This window comes from Homo sapiens, chromosome 8 (genome assembly GCF_000001405.40).
Source record: "Homo sapiens chromosome 8, GRCh38.p14 Primary Assembly".
Lineage (NCBI taxonomy): Eukaryota > Metazoa > Chordata > Mammalia > Primates > Hominidae > Homo > Homo sapiens.
The window spans coordinates 86,424,444-86,448,305 of NC_000008.11; the positions used below are offsets into that span (position 1 = coordinate 86,424,444).

General features: G+C 37.2%; 1 protein-coding gene across 10 annotated transcripts in view; it reads left to right on the forward strand.

Moving 5' to 3' along the window:
- Nucleotides 1-23,862, forward strand: part of WWP1 (WW domain containing E3 ubiquitin protein ligase 1) — a 125,957-nt gene that overhangs the window by 81,897 nt on the left and 20,198 nt on the right. For 5 of the 10 annotated variants that reach the window (NM_007013.4, XM_005250761.5, XM_005250760.5 and 2 more), the window contains 10 exons: nt 780-875; nt 3,200-3,374; nt 6,254-6,308; nt 6,963-7,047; nt 7,172-7,300; nt 11,009-11,084; nt 11,190-11,261; nt 14,142-14,230; nt 18,176-18,335; nt 23,705-23,838. In NM_007013.4, the coding sequence (NP_008944.1) occupies nt 780-875; nt 3,200-3,374; nt 6,254-6,308; nt 6,963-7,047; nt 7,172-7,300; nt 11,009-11,084; nt 11,190-11,261; nt 14,142-14,230; nt 18,176-18,335; nt 23,705-23,838 (1,071 nt within the window). Of the gene's footprint in view, nt 1-779; nt 876-3,199; nt 3,375-6,253; nt 6,309-6,962; nt 7,048-7,171; nt 7,301-11,008; nt 11,096-11,189; nt 11,262-14,141; nt 14,231-18,175; nt 18,336-23,704; nt 23,839-23,862 lie in introns of those variants that run through there. The other 5 variants (XM_024447056.2, XM_047421282.1, XM_017012994.3 and 2 more) reach the window with 2 other exon arrangements.

Genomic DNA, 23,862 nt, shown 5'->3' on the forward strand with positions numbered 1-23,862 from the left:
CAAGGCAGGCGGCTGGGAGGTGGAGGTTGTAGCTAGCCGAGATCACGCCACTGCACTCCAGCCTGGGCACCATTGAGCACTGAGTGAACGAGACTCCGTCTGCAATCCCGGCACCTCGGGAGGCTGAGGCTGGCAGATCACTCGCCGTTAGGAGCTGGAGACCAGCCCGGCCAACACAGTGAAACCCCGTCTCCACCAAAAAAATACGAAAACCAGTCAGGCATGGCGGCGCACGACTGCAATCGCAGGCACTCGGCAGGCTGAGGCGGGAGAATCAGGCAGGGAGGTTGCAGTGAGCCGAGATGGCAGCGGTACAGTCCAGCTTCGGCTTGGCATCAGAGGGAGAGCGTGGAAAGAGAGGGAGAGGGAGACTGTGGGGAGAGGGAGAGGGAGGGGGAGGGGAGGGGAGGGGGAGGGGGAGGGGAGGGGAGAGGGAGAGGTTTCTTAATTCTTGATTCAATTTCTGTTTTCTGATAATTTGGAATTCTGTAAGTAACTTTTTAAAATGTGGGGTATTCTCTTCCTTTTCTGCTAACTATACTTTGAGTTTCCAATACTGTAATAAAAAGGGAATAATTAAGAGGTTAAAAAAGTACTAATAATTGAGAAAATGAACACTTCTGTATATATATATAATAGCCTTTATATATATAGCTGTGTGTGTGTATAGTCTTTTAATGTAAAGCTTATCTGTAATTTTTCTGATTATAAGGAAGAGTCATTTTTAAGATTGTCCTAGTGTGTTGTCTCTTACTGTTATTTTTGTATTTTTATTAAAGGTGGGAACAAAGAAAAGATCCTCATGGTAGAACCTATTATGTGGATCATAATACTCGAACTACCACATGGGAGAGACCACAACCTTTACCTCCAGGGTAATATAGCACTCTTTATGCATTTGTAATTATATTTTATCACACATGTGGTTTTTAAATTTATTTAGTACAGCGTAATTTGATTCTTTCATTCTGCATATATTCAATTTCTTTACATTTCCTTATATAAATAATGAATGTTCAGTCAATGAGATTAGATAATCTGTAGGGCTTCCTCAAGAGACTGTCAAGCATTGGCATGAGTTACTGAGAGAAGTTGCAAAATTTGGTCAGTTGTCAGTCCTTCTTTGTAATTTTTTTAAGGAAAGAAAGGTAGTATTTAGGACAGTTTATATGTATGGTTCTCCATGGATAGTGATCTAAACTATGTTATTTCATAAGATTTAATGACTTAAATATTAAATGACTTAAAGGCCCAAATGATTTAATGACTTAAAGGCCCAAAACTATGATCTACAAAGATTGCCATGAGTGAACTTATACCTAAAATTGTAGAAGGTTTTAAATTAATAAAGTTTTTATTACATACTAAAATTCATGCTATTAGGCTGTCATTCAAGGCCATTCACAAACGAGTCTTCCTTTACCTTTGTATTCTTTCATAACTGTCTACATAACTGCACTGATAGCTAGTCGAATTGTACTGTTTGCATTCATTTACTCACACATTCTATGTGTACCTGGAATATATTTCTTACATACTCAGATTTCCCTTCCAGATTCAATTTAAAGCCCACCATTTTAAAACACATTCAAAATCTAGAAAATTCAAGGCAGAGAAATGTTATTTTTATGGGATATTTCTCTTTTATGGAATAAAGCACTCAGGCCTTGACCCTACAGTGTTAAATGAGAACGTATTGGAAAACATGGTGCCGATATTGCAATATAGCAAACCATGAAGTTCATTTTAACTATGACAAGATCATCAAGTTATAGTCATTCATTTAGTCCATTCATTGAGTGCCATGACTTGGGGTTTATTTCACTGAAACTGTTGTCCAAAAATTAGGCAGAGGTTGTCTTTAATTTCATCTTTAGCGTCTATTATTCTCTTTGTGACCCCATTGTATTTTTAGTAATAAGTTTAAGGAATTTATAATTGGTTGCTGAAAGGAGTTTACAATCATTTTATAAATTAATGACAAAAATTGGTTTAATAGATCCTACATGTGTAGAACAGGTGGGAGTTGGAGTGAATCCTGGAGGATGAGTAGAATTCTGGTTGGTAGAGAAATAGGGAAGGGTATTCTGTGAGGCAAAGGGGAAACAAAATTCACTCATGACACCCTTGGAACCAGCAAATAGTTGGTTAGACTCTCACATGAGGCCCTTGTAGGATCTCAGGGAAATGAGGCTGAAAATGTGGACAATTCATTTTTATGCCATGCCAGTGAGCCATCATGGGTGGAATGACATGGAGTCCACCTGTGTTTCAGGAAGAAAATTGGCAGCAATATAATGGCAGGAAGGTGAGTTAAAAAAGTAATAAAAAGAGTTCAGTTAACTCATTCTGAACATGGGCATTGGCTATAGAGCAGATTGCTTGGTATACAGCAAGCACTGTCAGTAAATGCTTATCAAAGAAAGAAGGAGAGGCCGGGCATGGTGGCTCATGCCTGTAATCCCCACACTTTGGGAGGCCAAGAGGTGGGAGGATCACCTGAGGTCAGGAGTTCGAGACCATCCTGGCCAACGTGGTGAAACCCCCATCTTTACTAAAAATACAAAAAATTAGCTGGGCATGGTGGTCTGCGCCTGTAATCCCAGCTACCCAGGAGGCTGAGGCAGGAAAATCACTTGAACCTGGGAGGCAGAGGTTGCAGTGAGCCAAGATCACACCATTGCACTTCAGCCTGGGTGACAAGAGCGAAACGCCATCTCAAAAAAAAAAAAAAGAGGGAGAAAGGATAGCCAGATGATACTAAAACTGTTCATTCAGTGGCCTCTTTTTAGACAGTCTTTAGAAATTATATTAGGGCTAATGCTTTCCCTCCCCGTAAGGGGCTTAAAACCTAGATGATGTGTTGATAGCTGCAGCAAACGACCATGGCACATGTATACCTGTGTAACAAACCTGCACGTTCTACACATGTATCCCAGAACTTAAAGTAAAATTAAAAAAAAAAGAAAATAAGCAAACTCTTGTAGTGCAGGACTAAACATTACAGTGATTAAAGGAAAAAAAAGATATTAGTGGTAGAATGGGAAGGTAATTTAGGTAAAATAAATAGTTCATAGTTTTATATGTTTTAGTTATTTTAACATGTCTTGAACTTGATATTTAAATTGAGTGAAGTAATAACTGCTTTTCATTTTCTTATATTGAGAGATTATTGTTTATTATTGTTTACTTGTGGTAGTTGGGAAAGAAGAGTTGATGATCGTAGAAGAGTTTATTATGTGGATCATAACACCAGAACAACAACGTGGCAGCGGCCTACCATGGAATCTGTCCGAAATTTTGAACAGTGGCAATCTCAGCGGAACCAATTGCAGGGAGCTATGCAACAGTTTAACCAACGATACCTCTATTCGGTAATTAGCAAATTGTAAGATGTTAACATAACTTCCTCCCTCAGGTGTTTCTTTCTTTTTTTTTTTTGCTATCCCTTGACCATAATCACATATCTATTTTGGTGATTTTCAGAAATGGTATAGACTGTGTTACAAGATATTTTTTAGTTAATCTTTAATAAATAGTGTTTCTGATATATATAAGTACTTTATAATATTTTAAAATATTCTAGTTTACTAACATAACTTATACATTAAGTTTTATATCCTACGGGGTAGTTTCATAAATGCATTTCTTAACAAAATAATATTTTTACTAATTTTCAATCTTCCACTTTTATAAATTTTGTTTGCTTTCAACAAAACCAGTTACTTTATTATTTTACTTAGAGCCAGTCTTGCAGTATGCTACCTATTCTGATTCTCTTCCCAGATTCTAAGAAGCAACACTCATCTGTTTTGCTCCATCAAAGATATTTCTAGAACTCGAAAGTTTTATCCAAAAAATCTAATGCTGTCTGAAAATTTGACCAATTGGTGATTTACTTATTGCCATAAGCAAACATCCGTGAGAGGAGTGGAAAAAACAAAACAAAACTCCTCTGATAAATGGTGTGATCATAGGAGGTAGAAAAGATAAATTTTAAGTACTGGACAACTACAGATAGTGTTTTGAGGCAACTTGAAGAAACCTAAAATATAGAAGCTAGCAGATAGAAAGGAAGTAGGAAAGAGACATAGAAAGAAAATGTAAGTAACTTTCTCCAAAATCCTGCTGCAGTCTGGCTCTTTCAACCACATTTTTTTCAGAGGTTAAATAGTAAGTTCTCATTTGCAGGTTGACCTACTCTCCTGGTTATATGTAGCTAGCAGGGAGGGAGTGGGCAGCCTAGTTTCCATAGCGTTTCCTGCTGCCTTCAGTTGCTGGTTCTTCCATGACTTGTACAGAAATCTGTGGTAAGGTTCCATAATTTAGCTGTATATAGTAATTATACCGTGTGGTATATATAGTAATATATATAGCTATATACATCCATAAAAAGTAATACATATAGCTTTGTTTTTGGTTGGACTTATCTGTACACATGAAAACCTTTGGTGAACAGGGCAGAATGAGGTAACAGATGTGTATCAGAAGAATGTTATCTTGCAAGTAATAGAATCTCCTTAAACACATTGAGGTTTAATTATCTCAGTACAACATCAAGTCTGGGGTAAAAGTGTAAGTGCTGCATTGACTCAGTAGTGTCATCAAGGACCCGGGTTCTTTCTGCCCTTTTGCTCTGCCATCCATATCGCACTTCAGGCCTGTTACTTCGTTTATATACTCTGCACTATGGGCCTCACATCCATAGTCTAGGCAAGAAGAAAGAGAAAGAGGAATTGAAAGGGCAGATGGCTCTGTTGTTGCAAGCCCTTGCCTTTTTTACTTAGCGAAGGATGCCCTCACCATGGCCTTCTGCCTATACCTCATTGGCCAGAATTGGTCACTCTACCAACTCAGCTGCAGGGAAGGGGGAATGGAATGATCTTTATGGCCACGTTTCTACCTCCAACAAAACAGGGTTTTGGTTCTCAAGAACAGGTGGAAGATAAATATTGAGTATAATTAACTGGGTCTGTTACAAGATTATATTCATCAAGATGCATATACTTTAAGAAATTATTTTTCAGGTAATGATTTTTATATTTGTCATTATTATAGAATTCTTGATAGAATACTTATATTTTCTTCAGAATATATTTCTAGGTTATAAGAATGGAGGCATACATAAAAATGTGTTTTTATGTATGTATGAAAATATAAAAGATACTAATTAAAAGTTTATTTCTATAAATGATACTGGAGTTGAGTGTTAGTTTTATTAGTGGGCATTTGTTTTAAAGAAAATTGTGATAACTGTTCTATTTTTAAACAAATAATATTGCCTCATTTAAACATCATAATTTCCTATATGTTCTTCTCCCATTTCATCTTCCCTCTATAGATTAGTATGGAAGGACTGGGAGAGTAAAGTATTGATGCCAGTGTATTATTTTTAAATCATTTTCGAAAAACTAATAATTAATTTGATAGTTGATAGTCTCCTCTTCGTGACATTTTATGAACTTAGTGTCTTGGCTGGGAGCGGTGGCTTACACCTGTAATCCCAGCACTGTGGGAGGCTGAGGCGGGTGGATCGCTTGAGCCTAGGAGTTCGAGACCAGCCTCAGAAACATGGCAAAACCTTGTCTCTACAAAAAATACAAATATTAGCCGGGTGTGGTGGCGCATATCTGTAGTCCTAGCTACTCGGTTGTTGCTGAGGTGGGAGGATTGCTTGAGCCCGGGAAGCAGAGGCTGCTGTGAGCTGAGATCACGCCACTGCACCCCAGTCTGGGTAATAGAGCAGGAAGATCCTGTCTCAAAAAACAAAGAACTTTGTGTCTTGAAATTGCTATATTTCCTTATAATGTGGACCTATCTATCTGTCTATATAATAATATAGATATATTTTTGAGACAGCTTCTCGCTCTGTTGTGCAGGCTGGAGTGCAGTAGTAGTGTGATCACAGTTCACTGTAGCCTCCACCTCCTGGGCTCAAGTGATCCTCCCACTTCAGCCTTCCAAGTAGCTGGGACTTTAGGCATGTGCCAACACATCTGGCTAATTAAAAAAAAATTTTTTTTTATAGAGACAGGATCTTCCAGGCTGGTCTTGAACTCCTGGGCTTAAGTAATCCTCCCACCTTGCCCTCCCAAGGTGCTGAGATTACAGGCATGAGCCACTGCGCCCAACCCCTTATCATATTTTTAGAAAATTATTATAAAATGTGATTCTGCCACATGCTTGGCTTATTTCTACTTTCATATTAAAACACTGTTATTTTATTTCTCTCCCTAATCTTTTCTCCAATCAGGCTTCAATGTTAGCTGCAGAAAATGACCCTTATGGACCTTTGCCACCAGGCTGGGGTAAGCTGTTTTTGCTAATGATCTATAAGGGAGATATATATCTCTCCATATATATATATATATATATATATATATATATATGTTCCTTATTTTATATATATATATCTCCCTTATATATGTCCCTTAACATATATATATCCCTTATAATATATAATATATTTAATATGGATTATATATTCTATATATTATATATTCTGTAGAATGTTATATATTCTGTATACTATATAGAATATATAATCCATATTAAATATATTATATATTATAAGGGATATATATGTATATTATATATGTATATATTATAAGGGATATATATATGTATATTATAAGGGATATATATATGTATTATATATATAATATACAGAATATATAGAATAGATTATATATTAAAGAATTATATATTATAGAATATATATTATATTCTACATAATTATCTATAATATAATATATATTATATTCTCTATAATATAATATATGTTATATTCTCTATAATATATATTATATTCTATATAATATATTCTATAATATATAAGGGATACATATATCCCTGATATGTTTTTATATATATAATATATATTATATATAATTATATGTGTTCCTTATTTTATATATAGATCCTAAATAGTTATTAAATATTATACTCACTTTATATTTCAGAAAAAAGAGTGGATTCAACAGACAGGGTTTACTTTGTGAATCATAACACAAAAACAACCCAGTGGGAAGATCCAAGAACTCAAGGGTATGTATATACAGCAGCCTTAAGTCGTCTTGCATATATCAGTAGGTAGAACCAACCAACCTTGAATGAGATATTTTTAGTACCTAGAAAAGGTTCATCTTGTGATTTTAACTTTATCTTTTAGCTTACAGAATGAAGAACCCCTGCCAGAAGGCTGGGAAATTAGATATACTCGTGAAGGTGTAAGGTACTTTGTTGATCATAACACAAGAACAACAACATTCAAAGATCCTCGCAATGGGAAGTCATCTGTGTGAGTGAAAACCTGAAGTTCTCCTTTAAATATTGCTTAGTGAGCACATGAGATTTAGTCTCTAATTTATCCTCAAGTTTAGCAAAACATTTTACTTTTTGGTTCAAGAAAACCTACACAAGTGAAACCTTAGTATAGCTGTCTTTGCTCTCATTTGACAATGGATTTGCAGCATGTAAACTATTTATGTAGTGATTACTGTGTGCCGAGGATTGTTCTAAGTACTTCATAGGTATTAACTCATTTTATCTTCCAATAACCCCTTGAGGTAGATACTATTATTTTTCCCTTTACCAAGTGAGGAGAGGTATAGGGAGCATAACTAACTGTGCAAAGTTATAAGGCAAGTAATGGAGCTGGTTTCTAACGATGACAGTCAGTCTCTGTCTAGACTCTGTGCTCTTAACTGCCACATCACACTGCTGCAATGAGATGGTCAGTGAAATGATTTTTCCAGATTTAAAGATACCTTAATTAAGCGGTTGACAGATCTCTCCTTCATTCTTACTCTAAGGTGTCATGTCTTTGCATAACTAAGAAAATAGAAGCAATCCTAAAAGGTCTTTTGCAAAGTTGTACCACCATATCTGTCCGTCTCCTACCATCTCTCCTCCCTCCTGTTCCTATAGATGAACTGTCATTGTTATTATCAAAGTCTCGTCCCTCTGCTGGTACATTCGATTCCTACCCCCACTTTTCTACTTAATTGCTCCAACAGTTATCACCTTTGTGTTGCATTATCAGGTTTTATTTCTCTACAAAATTATTCTTATCAGCTGTTATTTCTCCTAGATATAAAAAAAAAGCAAAAAAAAAAAGAAATTACAACTCTTCCCTTTACCAATGTGTTCAATCGCAGTTCATTTTTTTGTTTTTTTTTTGAGACGGACTTTCGCTCCTGTTGCCCAGGCTGGAGTGCAATGATGCGATGTCAGCTCACTGCAACCTCCACCTCCTGGGTTCAAGCGATTCTCCTGCCTCAGCCCCCTGAGTAGCTGGGATTACAGGCACCCGCCACCACACCCAGCTAATTTTTGTATTTTCAGTAGAGATGGGGTTTCGCCATGTTGGCCAGGCTGGTCTCGGACTCCTGACCTCAGGCGATCCACCTGCTTTGGCCTCCCAAAGTGCTGGGATTACAGGCGTGAGCCATCACACCCAGCCCACAGTTCATTTTTATTGCTCCCCTTTACAGGAAAGCTACTTGCATGGTTGTCTCTGTATTGCTGTTCATAGTTTCTCCTTTAAACCAACTCCAAGGAAGTTCCCCTGACACTGAATTTGCAAGGGCACCAATGATCTTCACATTGTTAATCCAGGCGTTGGTTTGCAGTCCTGCCTGATTTGACTTACCAGGAACATTTGACACAATACATTTCTCTCTCCTGGCAAAAGTAGTGCTGTGAGCCATACTTTCTTGATTTCCCTCTGCGTTTCTGTTCTTCTATCTTTATTTTGTCGAGTCCTCCTTTTTTTCCTAAGCCTCTTTTTTTTTTTTTTTTTTTGTTAACTACATTCATTCTCTTGATGCATCTTACTCAGTATTATGCTTTTAAAACATGTGCCTGCTAATGACTCACAAATTTAGCTCAGACTTCTCACTTGAAATTTTGCTTTCTATATTCAGCTGCTTATTGACATCTCCACTTGTAACTCCTTCTTGGTAGGTCCTGTAAAACCTGCTCTCTGGCCAGGCATGGTGGCACACACCTATAATCCCAGCACTCTGGGAGGTTGAGGCGGGTAGATCACTTGAGCCCAGGAGTTTGAGACCAGCCTGGGCAACATAGCAAGAGCTAGTCTCTAAAAAAAAAAAAATTATAACAACAACAACAAAAACCCAGCTCTACCTGTGATATTCCCTGTCACAGTTGATAACTCCACTCTAGCAGGTGCTTGGGTCAAAAATTTTGAAATCACCTTGTTATGGTGGCTCACGCCTATAATCCCAGCAGTTTGGGAGGCCGAGGCGGGCAGATCACCTGAGGTCAGGAGTTCGAGACCAGCCTGGCCAACATGGTAAAATTAGCTGGGCGTGATGGCGTGTGCCTGTAATCCCAGCTACTCAGGAGGCTGAGGCAGGAGAATCGCTTGAACCCAGGAGGCAGAGGTTGCAGTGAGCCGAGATTGCACCATTGCACTCCAGCCTAGGCAACAAGAGCGAAACTCCATCTTAGGAAAAAAAAAAAATGTAGAATCATCCACAACTCCTCTATCTCTCCTACCTTACAAACAGTCCATCAAGAATTCTAGTTACCTCAACTTCAAAACATATCTAGAATCCAGCTATGCCTCACCACCCCCATTGCCACCATTTTGGTCCAAGCTACCATTATCTGTTGCCTGGCTTGGTAGCAGAGTCCTCTCTCTGCTTTCTTCCCACACCTTGTACAATGTTGTTACTCTCCATACAGCACAGAGACTGAATTTCCAAAACAAAATTTAATTAAAAGTCATTTATTTGCACAAAACCCTTCAGTGGTTTCCATCTCAATAAGAGTAAAAAGCACACTTTACAACAGCCTAAATGGCCTTACAGGATCTGACCCCTCTTATCTCTTCAACCTCCTCTTGGTTTTCGCTCCTCCTCATTCACCGTGTTCTAGCTTCATTGGACGCTAGCTGTGCCTTCAACACCTTCAGCTTCCACCTTGGGTCTTAGCCTTTATTCCGTCTGCCTGGTATGCTCTTTTCCCGAAACTCCATATGGCTTTTGCCCTCTCCTTCATGTTTTTGCTCAAATGTCACTTTGTCTGTGAGCTCTACTCCTTTTACCCTTTTGAAAATCACAAAATGCTTCTCATATCACTCCTTATACTTTGTCCTTTTAACAATGCCTTTTTTATTGTTTTATTGTTCTAGGTCAGGAGTGATAAGACATTTGTACTTTACTTATTTATTATATTTTTTTGTCTTATCTCCTTCACTAGTATATAAGCTCCACAAAACAGGCATTTTTACCTATTAATAAGTAATGCTGTCACTGTCTAGAAGAAAGCCAGGTACCAGCTATGCATTCAGTAAATGCTTTTTGAGTAAGTGAATTCACTTGAACCTGACAACACAAGAGAACATTTTTCATCTGTTCCAAAGTGTTCCTTAACATTATGAAAGTTCTTTGTGCCTGTCAGGCCCTCAATCAATAGGCAAGAGATCCAGGCTCTGTCACTGTGAGTCAAACCATATTGTAAAACCTGTATTCCTAGGTGCCGTGCCACCAACTCTGCCTTTTCTCTCACTGACCACGTGAACCGTGTGATCTGGATGACAATGTTGTTTCTAGGAATTTGATTTTGCTTTGCTTATTATCTCCAGGAATATTTGTTTGGGTTTTAGGTTAGGCTTAGGATGTGGTAGAATTTCCTTCCACGTCTCTTCTGTCTGGAGCCTCTGTCCTCCTTAGATTTAAGGATTATCGAAGATTTTCTTTGAAATAGTCTGTAGTAGACTTTGATATTTCATTTAACTCACTAACAAAAGATCCAGCCATAAATACAATGTCCTTCTTTGTGTATATGTGTGTCCTGTTGCTGTAATAGTCCCCATTACTTGAGCTTCTTTTGGCCCACCATGTATGTATACCCTTCTCTCCCAGCAGAAATCTTCCTGTGGTATTTTGTTGGACTTTAGTACACTCTGATTTTATACTGAATACTAAATATTCAACTTTATTATGAGTTAATTTGGTTTATTTTTGTTTTTCTTTAGAACTAAAGGTGGTCCACAAATTGCTTATGAACGCGGCTTTAGGTGGAAGCTTGCTCACTTCCGTTATTTGTGCCAGGTACTATAGTGGTAAATAAATCTTATACTCAATAATTTAGTCTTCTCTTTATACAATACATATACTATAACTCAGATGATATTATGATATTATTTTTGTTTTTAGTCTAATGCACTACCTAGTCATGTAAAGATCAATGTGTCCCGGCAGACATTGTTTGAAGATTCCTTCCAACAGGTAAGGAGGATTTTAGCAGAATAAAACACCATTTGTCTCATTGTATTCTGTGCATCTAAAGAAAGTCAGGGTTTTAGAGATTTTTAAACCACCCAGAACACAGCTATAATAATAATGACTGCCACCACCACTTGTTGAGTGCCTTTGTTTTGTTTTGTTTTGTTCTGTTTTCTTAAATAGAGATGGAATTTCGCCATGTTGCCCAGGTTGGTCTCAACCTCTGGGCTCGAACGATCTACCCACCTCGGCCTCGTAAAATGCTGGGATTACAGGCTTGAGCCACTGCATCTGGCCTGAGTGCCCATTTTAATCATAGTTACACTAAACCTTCCCATATACTGAGTGATTATCATTTGCAAAACACCGGCATCTTACATTTCTCATTTTATTTCATTCGTCCTCACAGCATCCCTTTGAGATAGCACTTATTGTATCTCCATGTTATAGGTAAAGGTACTGAGACTGAGAGACATATCATGAATTTAGATGTGTATTTACTAAAATAAAGCTTAAACAGCTTTTGGAACAAGTTGATTCTTGTTTTGACACAATACTTGGCTAAGAATTTATTACCTCAAAGTTTTGATAATGCTATCAAATTAAAATTAAATTGGTAGATACTGTATTCCATTTGAGAATTCCTTTAATAACTTTATTTTCACCTTTATGTTTCTGTTTAAATGTGATCTCAGAGAGACCTTCTCTGAGCCTACTATTTTAAGATGGCAGTCCTTCTCTTCTCCCTCACAGTCACATTCCAGCCATTTATGGTGCTTTATTCTTTTTCATAACCACCCAACATAGTGTATTTTGTCTTCCTTACTAGAATGTGAGCTCCATGAGAGCAGGGACTATTGGTTTACTGCTGTTCTGCCTAGTACGTAGAATAGTGCCTTTGCACATAGAGGGTATTCAATAAATATTTGATGAACAAATAAATGAATGCAGTATTTCTTCCTTTCATGAGTCATCTGCAGAATATTTAAGGATAAATAATCCAAATACTGTATTGTCAGTTTTTGCCCAATGAAGTGGAGAATTTTTCATAATGAGACGTCTTATTCCCCCCCTAGTATTATAATGATGAACCAAATTATGCTGTGTACTCAGGCATACAGGGACTTTTATTTATACTTTGTACAAGCCAAAATGGAGTAATGATACTCTGAGCCCCAAGAGAATTTCAAACCATAGCTTAATTTTACGATTGGACTTTGGGCATGATACTTAAACTATTATCAAGTTGATTTTTTTTTTTTGAGTTAATAAATTCTTAGCAAACTAAGTGTAAATAGGTCAACTTTTTCTAAACTCTGGATTGATTTTAGTAAATGTACATCTGAATTCATGGTAGACTTTATTTTGCTTTTTACCCTGTCTTGGGAAGAATCATGGTCTATTTGATGTATAGCACTGAGCCCACGACTGCCTCCAAGGAGGCATGCTGGTGAGCTGTGCTCCAACCCAGACTTGCCAGTCTTGGCTCTGGTCCTGACATATGTGTGGAATGTAATTTATTTCTATCCAAAGTAAAGCCTACTTACTAGTAACCTTGATGTAAGCTATTAAAGATTATGAAAATTTGGTATACGTATTGTTTTTAAGTTATACTAGCCTGTGAATAAATTCATCATTGTATAAATAATTGCTCATTATAGCTGAGTTCCTTTCCTACTGAGAAATGGAATGTGTGGTATAAACAGGATGCAGAACAAAGTCTTTTGCCTCTAAGTACTGCTAGTCAGAAAAATTTACCTGTTGGAAGATTTTGGTACAGTTTGGGGAAACCAGTAGGGGAGATAATATTTTTAACCTTAAAAGCCTTTTGTGTCAAACTCTTCCTGTCTTGTCATTAACCCAAAATAGAACTATCCATTTAATACTAGAAGGAGGAAAGAGTATAGTTGACCCTTAAACAACACAGGGGCTAGGGGTGCTGACCCCTTGCACAGTTGAAAAGCCATGTATAACTTTTGACTACCCCAAAACTGAATTACTAATACCTACCATTGACTGGAAGCCTTACCAATAACGTAAAGAGTCAGTTAACACATAGAGTCAGTTAACACATATTTTGTATAATATATGTATTATATACTGTATTCTTTTTTTTGAGACAGAGTCTCGCTCTGTCGCCCAGGCTGGAGTGCAGTGGCACGATCTCGGCTCACTGCAAGCTCCACCTCCCGGGTTCACACCATTCTCCTGCCTTAGCCTCCCGAATAGCTGGGACTACAGGCGCCCACCACCACGCCTGGCTAACTTTTTGTATTTTTTAGTAGAGACGGGGTTTCACCATGTTAGCCAGGATGGTCTCAATCTCCTGACCTCGTGATCCACCTGCCTTGGCCTTCCAAAGTGCTGGGATTACAGGCCTGAGGCACCACACCCGGCCTGTATACTGTATTCTTATAATAAAGTAAGCTAGAGAAAAGAAAATTTTTTTAGAAAATCATAAGGAAGATAAAATACATATACTGTTCATTAAGTAAAAGTGGATCATCATAAAGGTCCTCATTCTCATTGTCTTCACATTGAATAGGCTGAGGAGGAGGAAGAGGGCTTGGCCTTGTTGTCTCAGGGGTGGCAGAGGCTGAAGAAAATTCAAGTATAAGTGGACCTGTGCATTCACCATGTTGACTTAAACTCATCTTGTTTACGGGTCAACTATATGTGAAAGTGAGTCAGGAAAAGCTTAACAGATTGATATGTATGTCTTCATCTAGTTTGTGAAAGAAACCAATTCATCTCTTGAGTTAAAAGCATTGTATAAGATAAGGAAATGTGTTATTTTGAAAATAGAGATTAAATTTAAATTGTTTTGAAAGGAACTTGTACTGCATGTGAGTATTTAATATTCATGTTTTTGTTTTTAATTAGATTATGGCATTAAAACCCTATGACTTGAGGAGGCGCTTATATGTAATATTTAGAGGAGAAGAAGGACTTGATTATGGTGGCCTAGCGAGGTAAAATAAAAAACACATATCTGCCTTGAAATAAGTATATCTCATTGTATACAGGGAAAGTATTCTTCAAAACATATGTGAATATATTGTATTAAATTTTTGAATTAACAATCCAGAATTTTTCTCAAAAATACACACGGTAACCATTATTATTATTACTACTCTTGGTTATCTTTCTATACATCTTTACATATATGTAAATTTGTATATATGTGTAATATAGTATATATTTGCTGCTTTTTTTAACAGTTAATCATACAATGTACAAAATGTAGGATCTGATTTTGTTTTTTTATATAGTGTGGGCATCTTTCTATGTTAGCATATATACAGTGAGTGAATGAATTTGTTTATTTCTTTTTCTTCTTGTTTTTTAAAAAGTTTTAAAGGCTGGACGTGGTGGCTTACGCCTGTAATCCCAGCACTTTGGGAGGCCAAGGCGGGTGGATCATGATATCAGGAGATCGAGACCATCCTGGCTAACACGGTGAAACCCCGTCTCTACTAAAAATAAAAAAAATTAGCCAGGCGTGGTGGTGGGCGCCTGTAGTTCCAGCTACTCGGGAGGGTAAGGCAGGAGAATGGTGTGAACCCAGGAGGCGGAGCTTGCAGTGAGCTGAGATCATGCCACTGCACTCCAGCCTGGGTGATGGAGCAAGACGCTGTGTCAAAAAAAAAAAAAAAGTTTTTAAAGCTTTTTGTAGAAATGAGGGTCTCACAGTTTTGCCCAGGCTGATCTTGAACTCCTGAGCTCAAGAGATTCCCCCAACCTTGGTCTCCCAAAGTACTGAGATTACAGGTGTGAGGCACAGCACTCAGTCTGAATATTTTCTTTTTTAAAATGGCTGTACAATATTCTGTTGTATGGAAATATCATAATTAATAGATTAGCATGCATACATTCTTATTTTTTGCTATTGTAAGTAACATCATATTTTGGTTTTATGTTTATGTTTTTAGTCCAATCTGAGTCTCTTTTGGGAATAAAGTTTTCTACATTCACTAAATATATTGTTAACAGTAGATACTTGTGAAGCAATATGGGTGGAAAATCCTTTTATTTTTCAATTTTGTCCCTTATTTGTTCTGCCCCAGCCTAATTTGGCAACAATTTATTGTTTAGCAAAACATTTTGATTAAATCTTTCTAAAGAATTCAAACTTGCTTTTCATAGAAACAACTCCTTTTTTGAACTCATTTCAGAGGTGTACAGAATTACAAAATCACAGTTTTAACACAACTGGCAAAAAGAGATACAGAACCAAGTACAACTGATGGGGATAGATAAGTAATAATATATGTGGAATTATCAGAGTTTTGTTTATATTAGCATATTTCCTCATTTACAACATCATTAAACTTTTCCAGAAACGAAACACTGCCTATCATAATAAATGTTCATATTGCATCTATTACGAGTTTATCTCAATTTCAGAAATGTTCAGACATAAGAAAGGTACATCTTAGAAATGAGGAAATATGGTATTTTTACAGTGTGTCTTTATTAACATTTACATTCTTATCTGAGCCCTTATTTGCCTCAACTATTTGGGTCTAAGTTTTATATTTTGATAGTTTTAATGAATATAGCTAGTTCCTCCATAACATGATTTTTTATTCCTAAATTTTTTATTTAATTCATGTATTGGTGGGCTAGATTCATCAAATGGTTTATTAAAGAGTTTACAGGATTGATATATTCCTACAGTCTTTGCATAATGTTCTCTGTTGCTTTTACATATAAACAACAATTTCACTAGATATAAATTTCTCGCACACTTGTTTTTCCAATACTCAGACATTGCTTTACTGTTTTCTAGCATTGAATGTTAGTACTGTGAAGTGTGAGGCCAGCCCCTTGTAAGAACCTTATTTTTCCTCTGGGTGCCCACACAGTCCTTTTTCCTGAAGTTCAATAATTTCACTGTTGATTGTTTTGTATCTTTTTTTAGGAATATATTAAGATCTTCCTTAATGTCAGGGAAGTTTTCTTCTATTATGTCTTTGAATATTTTTTCTGTTCCATTTGTTCCATTTTTCTTCAGGAACATCAGTCATGGGTATGTGGAATCTCCTTTGTCAGTCTTACATGTCTGTCATCTTTTCTCTGATCATTTTTATCTTTGCACTTTTCCATTTTATTTTGATTTTTCTCAAGCCTATCCTCATGTCACTGTTTGCAGTACTGCCCTACGTTTTGCTGCTTCTAATGTGATTTTTCTTCATTAGTGGTTTTACTGTTTTCTTCATTTTCTTCTTTAGGCTCTGCTAGCTCATCTGTTGTCTCATAATTTTTTCAACCTCTTGTGTCTCTTCAGTTTATTTGAGAGTATTGAGAAGAATATGTTGAAAGTTAATTCTTCTGCCTCTTGCTAGTTAGGAATTTTTCTTCCTTTTCTGCTAGCATCAGAGGAAAAGAGTAGATGCCATGTTTTAGCCATTCTTCTTTTGAATTGATTGAGTTTTCTCTGGGCTGTTGTTTGCTAAAAATTATCTGAAGCATCTGGAGGGTTTATTCCTAGTTTTATATATGTGTCTAAACACACTCTCACAAGACCTGCTCCATCCTCTTACCTGGGGTATGTCTTACTTCAGCCTCATCATAGAGGGAAGTCACTTGGTTCAACTACTACTATGTTACAACTGGACTTAGTTTTAATAATTGGTGTTTACTATTTCTAGTTGATTTTGTTGAGGACTTCCTTCTCTACCCTTCAGGCAGTATCAGTGATTGTGTTTTATAACCTTTAGAAAAACGTTTATTAACAGGCTGCCAGGCCAGATGTAGCCTACATAGAGGTGGCCCTCATTGTGATTTTACAGTTTTTAAATTACTTGATGACATTTGAAAATCATTAGATTATGCTTAAGAATGAAGATTTCTGACTTCTCTTTAAAACACTCGACCTGCAATCCTGCCTTCTCATGTGGCGTCAGTGGGCTGAATCAGAGTTGTTTCCCCTGTAGATTAGCATATACTCTGTTTCACTATGGTGTCCACCACTGCCCAGTTGTCTGAGGACTACGATAATATGCCTAGAAATTCTTCTTCCTTAAAACCAATAATTCAGCAGGTATATAAGGAATGGAGGATTGTGGCTAAGCAGAGAATGTGAGCCCCATCTAGAGAATAGAGAAGGAATCCCCTTGTACTTACAGATTACTGTAAGCATTTGAGTTTGGAACCCTTCTTTAGAAGAAATTGCTATTGAAAAGAACCTTTTAGAGATTGGGTTTATCTTGTAATACCTTTATCTAGTTGGATTTCGCATATTGGACTTTAAAATGGGTGGTAAAAGGTTAGAGATTGCTTATCACATTTAAAGATTTAACCTTTTAAATTTTAGTTTCATTTTTAATGCAATGACAATAAAGTTAAAAGTGTTAAATAGCAGCAGTGCTGTGTATCTCGGTATCACCTGCAAATGTATATTAAAACCTGTTGTATATACATCCTAGAGTGCTTGTAAGAGTTAAGAATACAAAAAAATACATGGCTTTTGCCTTTGAGAAACTTACAGTCTGATGGATGGGGCAAGTCATGTGCATAAAAATGAATTAATATTGTGAGGTTGTTACAACAGAGTATTCAGTGACTGATATTAATACAAATACACTGGAAATTGCCTCAAAAAATTGTTGAAATGGGATTTAAGCTGAATTGAAGTTGAGGAGACATACCCAAGCAAAAGTGTGGCATACAAATAAGCATGTTATATCTATATGAGGATCAGTGAATTTGTAGTTTGGCCACATCGAAACTAGCAGGTAACTTAAATGGAGAGCCAGATCATAGAAGAACTTGGATAGAGGGCCAAAGAATTGGGCAGTGGAGTTCTTAAAGACTGTTGAGCAGAGGTATGATGTATATATGAATATATTTAAGATCTGTTTTTAAATTCACATATTAATGCTAAAAAATAACCTTGACTTATTTTCTTATAGAGAATGGTTTTTCTTGCTTTCACATGAAGTTTTGAACCCAATGTATTGCTTATTTGAGTATGCGGGCAAGAACAACTATTGTCTGCAGATAAATCCAGCATCAACCATTAATCCAGACCATCTTTCATACTTCTGTTTCATTGGTCGTTTTATTGCCATGGTGAGTTCCTGACTTTATTATTATTTATTTAAGTTTGTTACAAATGTATTAGAGAAGGCTTTTAAAAAAAAAAAAAAGGATAAGCATTATATTTGCTATTCACAAGTTTTGTTACCAAGAAAGTTTCCCTGGAGAGTGTAAAAATATATTTTTTGAGTACCTGTATAAAATCAAGATTATGAATATGAAGATTATGTTTATACAGCCACTTAGTCTTTAAAAGTCCTTTCATTTTTAAATTTAAAACCCATTTATAGTATGACTACTTTTATTTGTTTATTTATTTTTAATAGAAAAAATTTTAATTCTTTTGAGAAAGGATCACAGTCTGTTGCCCAGGCTGGAGTGCAGTGGTGTGATCTCAGCTAACTGCAACCTCCACCTTGCAGACTCAAACGATCCTCCCACCTCAGCCTCCCAAGTAGCTGAGACTACAGGCTCACACCACCATGCCAGCTAATTTTTTTGTATTTTTAGTTGAGATGGGGTTTCATCATGTTGCCCAGGCTGGTCTCAAACTCCTGAGCTGAAGTGATCCGCCTGTCTCGGCCTCCCAAAGTGCTCAGATTACAAATGTGAGCCACCACTCCCAGCCTACTTTTCAATAAAAGGAAAATCTGAGCTATCTAATAATTGTATTTGATTGTTTTTGGAATTTTAAGCGCTTTGCAGAAGCCCTTATGGAACTATTGTCTTTTGGGAAGTGTTTGTATTTATTTATTTACGTATTTATTTACACTTTATTATCTATTAATTCATTCAGCAAAAATTTATTGACAGCCTACTGTAATGCCAAGCACTGTTTTAGGCTCCAGAGATGAAAAGAATACACAGTCCCTGCTCTCAGGGACCTAAATTCCATTAGATAGAAATGAGTAATCAATAGATATATTCTGAAGGAAAGAGTGTGTTGCTTTTTTTATATGGTATGGTTAGAGGAAACCTCACTGATGGATGACACATGAACAGAAATTGAAGAAAGCTAGGGACTGAATCATGCAGATATCTTGGAGACTATTCTAGGCATAGGGAACAGCAAGACAAAGGCTCTAATGTGGGAGTGCATTCTTGATTGAGAAAGAGACCAGTATAATTGCAGCAGAGGATATGAGAGAGAATGTAATAGGAGATGAGATTGAGAGATGCTGTGTGGGACCTTTAGGAAATTCACATAAGAGTTGAGTAGGGCAATGAGTGACCTGATCTAACTAACATGATCTGACTTAAATTTTATTAAGCTTGCTTTACGAGTATGTAGAAGACAGACTATAATTGGGGGCATAGGAAAACATGGATAGAAGCAGGAAAATCATTTGTAACAATCCAGGTGAAAGATAATAGTGGCTTGGACTTGTGTCTTCTAGCAGTGGAGGAAGTGAGAAGTGATTTGGATTCTGGGTATATTGCGAAGTTAGAACTAACAGTTTTCTGACAGATTAGATGCAGGGGTGTGAGAGAGAGTCAAGTATGGCAACAATATTTATGGCCAGCTTGTCTGGTTGCAAATTTTGGGTATGGGAGAAATCCAGAATATTTAGGTTTGGCTTGTTAAGTTTGAAGTAGACATCCACATGGAGATGTAAAAGAGATAGTTGGAGGTATAAGTCTGGCAATGAAAGGATATTTAGTTTGGAGATAGGCATTTGGGAATTCTTGGCACATAGAGAGTATTAAAAGGCAATATGATTGTTTATAGAGTGAGTATGGATGAAGAAGTTGTTCAAGGACAATTATAGTCAGGGAGATAAGTAACCAACAAAAGATCTGAGGTAGTAGAATCAAATAGGAGTGGTCCCCAGAGGACAAGGGAAGAAGAAAGTGTGTTTCAAGAAGGAAGACATGGTCAACCGTCATATGTTACTGATAGACTGAGCAAGATGAAGCCTGGGATTTGACCATTGTATCTGCAAAGGTGAAAGTTATTCATGAGTGGTAGGGTGGAAAGACTGATGGGAGTAAAATCAAGAGAGAATGGAGGGAGAGTGGATACAGCAAATATAAACAAGGAATCATAGAGAATTGGTCACTAACTGGAAATGCTTATGGAGTCAAGAATGGGAGGAGAATAAAACATTTGTATTGCTGATAGTGATGACTAAGTATCTTAGTCTGTTTTGTGTTGCTGTAAGGGAATACCAGAGGCTGGATAATTTATAAAGAAAAGGGGTTTGTTTGACTGTGCAGGCTGTACAAGAAGCATGGTGCCAGCATCGTCTTCTGGTGAGGGCCTCAGGCTGCTTCCACTCATGGCACAAGGGGAAGCAGCGTGTATGAAAGTCACATGATGAGAGAGGAAGCAAGGGTGGGGAGGAAGTGCCATACTCTTTTTAAAACCAGCTCTGTAGGGAACTAATAGAGTGAGAACTCACCAGGGCATTAGTCTATTAGTTGCAGGTCAAAATTCTTTGTTTTTCTGGTTTAATTTTAGAATCAGGGGTACATGTGCAGGTTTGTTAAAAAAGTATATTGTGTGATGCTGAGATTTGGGGTATGATTGAACCCATCATGCTCAGGTAGTGAACGTAGTACCCAATAGGTAGTTTTTCAACCCTTGCCTTCCTCCCTCTCTCCCTCCCATCGTAGTCCCCAGGTGTCTATTTTTCCCATCTATTTATGTCCATGTGTGCCCAATGCTGAGCTCCCACCTGTACGTAAGAACATGCAGTATTTGGTAGTTGGCTTGGGAAAATGGCCTCCATCTGCATCTGTGTTGTTGCAAAGGATATGATTTCATTCTTTTTTTGGCTGAATAGTATTTCATGGTGCTTACAGTCCACCATTGATGGGCACCTGGATTTATTCTAGGTCTTTCCTATTGTGAGTAGCGCTGTGGGGAACATACAGTGCTTGTGTCCTTTGGTAGCACAATTTATTTTCCTCTGGATATCTATACCCAGTAATGGGATTGCTGATTCTCATGGTGGTTCAACTCTTAGTTCATTGAGAAATTTCCAACCTGCTTTTCAAAGTGGCTGAACTAATTTACATTCTGAACAAAGTATATGTCTCTTTTTTTTCTGAAGCCTTGCCAACATCTGTTATTTTTTAATGTTTTAACAAAAGCCATTCTGACTGGTATGAGATGGTGTTTCATTGTGGTTTTGATTTGTATTTCTCTGATGATTAGTGATGTTGAGCATTTTTTCATATATTTTGTTGGCTGCTTATATGTCTTTTCTTTTCTTTTCTTTTCTTTTCTTTTTTTTTTTTTTTTTTTTTTGAGACAAGAGTCTTGCTCTGTCACCCAGGCTGGAGTGCAGTGGCATGATCTCAGCTCACTGCAACCTCTGCCTCCTGGGTTCAAGCAATTCTCTTGCCTCAACCTCCTGAGTAGCTGGGACCACAGGCACGCACCACCACACTCAGCTAATTTTTGTATTTTTAATAGAGATGGGGTTTCACCATGTTGGCCGGGCTGGTCTCGAACTCCTAACCTCAGGTGATCCGCCAACCTCGGCCTCCCCAAGTGCTGGGATTACAGGCGTGAGCCACTGCGCCCAGCAGCTGCTTATGTATCTTCTTTTGAGAAGTGTCTGTTTATGCTTGCCCAGTTTTTAATGGGTTTTTTTTTCTTGTTGATTTGCTTACTTTCCTTATGAATTCTAGATATTAGACCTTTGTTGGATCCATAGTTTGTGAATATTTTCTCCCATTCTGTAGGTTAGTTTACTCCCTCTCTTGCTGTGCAGAAGCTCTTTAGTTTAATTAGGTCCTATTTATCAATTTTTGTTTTTGTTGGACTTAGCCAGAAATTTTTTTGTCAAGGCTAATATCAAGAGGGCATTTCCTAGGTTTTCTTTTAGGATTTTAATAGTTTTAGGTCTTACATTTAAGTATTTAATCCATCTTGAGTTAATTTTTGTGTATGATGAAAGGTAGCACTCTAGTTTCATTCTTCTGTATGAAGAAGCCAGCTGGGGGATCACATTTCAACATGAGATTTGGTGGAGACAAACATCTAAACTATAGTACCAAGTTAGAGGATAAAGAATTTGATAAAGTCAGAATATAAGGAATATGAGAGCAATGGGCTTGAGTTGGAGAGAGGAGGAGATTTATTTAGCACACACACCAAGTGATGGAAAGATTATCTATAATAAGATTATATGGATTCAGATGCTAGTAGTGAGCAGATATAGTAGAACACAAAAGTTTTCTTCTGGTTGCTTCTGTTTCCTCTGTGAAATAGGAAGTAAGATCATCAACTCAGAATAAGGAGTGGGGAGAAGTATTTGAGGAAAGAAGAGTAGGAATGAAATAGTCATCTAGGAAAGTGGGAGAGTGAATGCAGTAGGGAAATGTGATTACCAGGAAACAGACCAGTGATGAAATACAACTGTCGGTCATAGAGCAGTCAGCTTGGTTGTTTATGCATTTCTAGCATGTTCCATTGCCTAGGTACAGGCATTGAGTAACCTGAGAGTTGAATTTAGTTAGGCTTGGGATTTTGCTAGAAATACACTGGCAGAGGTGGAGTTTGAAGGGAGTTATTTTATTTTATTTTTTGAGACAAAGTCTCGCTCTGTCACCCAGGCTGGAGTGCAGTGGCACGATCTTGGCTCACTGCAGCCTCCACCTCCCAGGTTCAAGCAATTCTCCTGCCTCATCTTCCTGAATAGCTGGGACTACAGGCGCGTGCCACCATGCCCAGCTAATTTTTTGTATTTTTAGTAAGGACGGGGTTTCACTGTGTTAGCCAGGATGGTCTTGATCTTCTAACCTCATGATCCACCCGCCTCAGCCTCCCAAAGTGCTGGGATTACAAGTGTGAGCCACTGCGCCCCACCTTGAAGGTAGTTATTTTAATGATTGACTATGGAATCTAAACTGAGTAAGGGAAGACATAACTTCATGAGGGGGCTAAGGTAGTATTAATAGCTTCAGTGGATTTTTTTAGTTCCCCAAAATTGGTGGGAGTCTGGGGCTTCTGTGTTGGCTGTTGTGAATAGGAGCGAAGGCACGATGGGGTTAGTCCTAAAAGCCTCACAGGCAGCAGTGAGAGTAAGAAACGAACGAGAGAGCTGCCTTTTCAGGTGCACAGGGCCCTTTTATATTTCCTTATCCAGTTAGGTTAATTCAATTTATAAAACATTTAGGAAGATTGAGGCAGGGTATGGTAATAGAAGTCTTTTATCATCCTATACAGTTTTTGATATATGTTATATAGCTATGTGTTATAAAATAGATTGTTTTAACTTTGTTTTTCATACCTAGCATTTTATATAATATTTTAGTTTTCATGATTTATGCCATTCACTTACTGAATGCTTTGTTTACTTGTGAAGTCTCATGATTTTTCTTTTATCATTGTTCTCTAAGAAATTGTTATTTTGCAAATTTTAAATAAAATTTTTCATTTTTCTTTGCAGGCACTATTTCATGGAAAGTTTATCGATACTGGTTTCTCTTTACCATTCTACAAGCGTATGTTAAGTAAAAAACTTACTATTAAGGATTTGGAATCTATTGATACTGAATTTTATAACTCCCTTATCTGGATAAGGTTTGAAGATTTTGTTTTGCAATA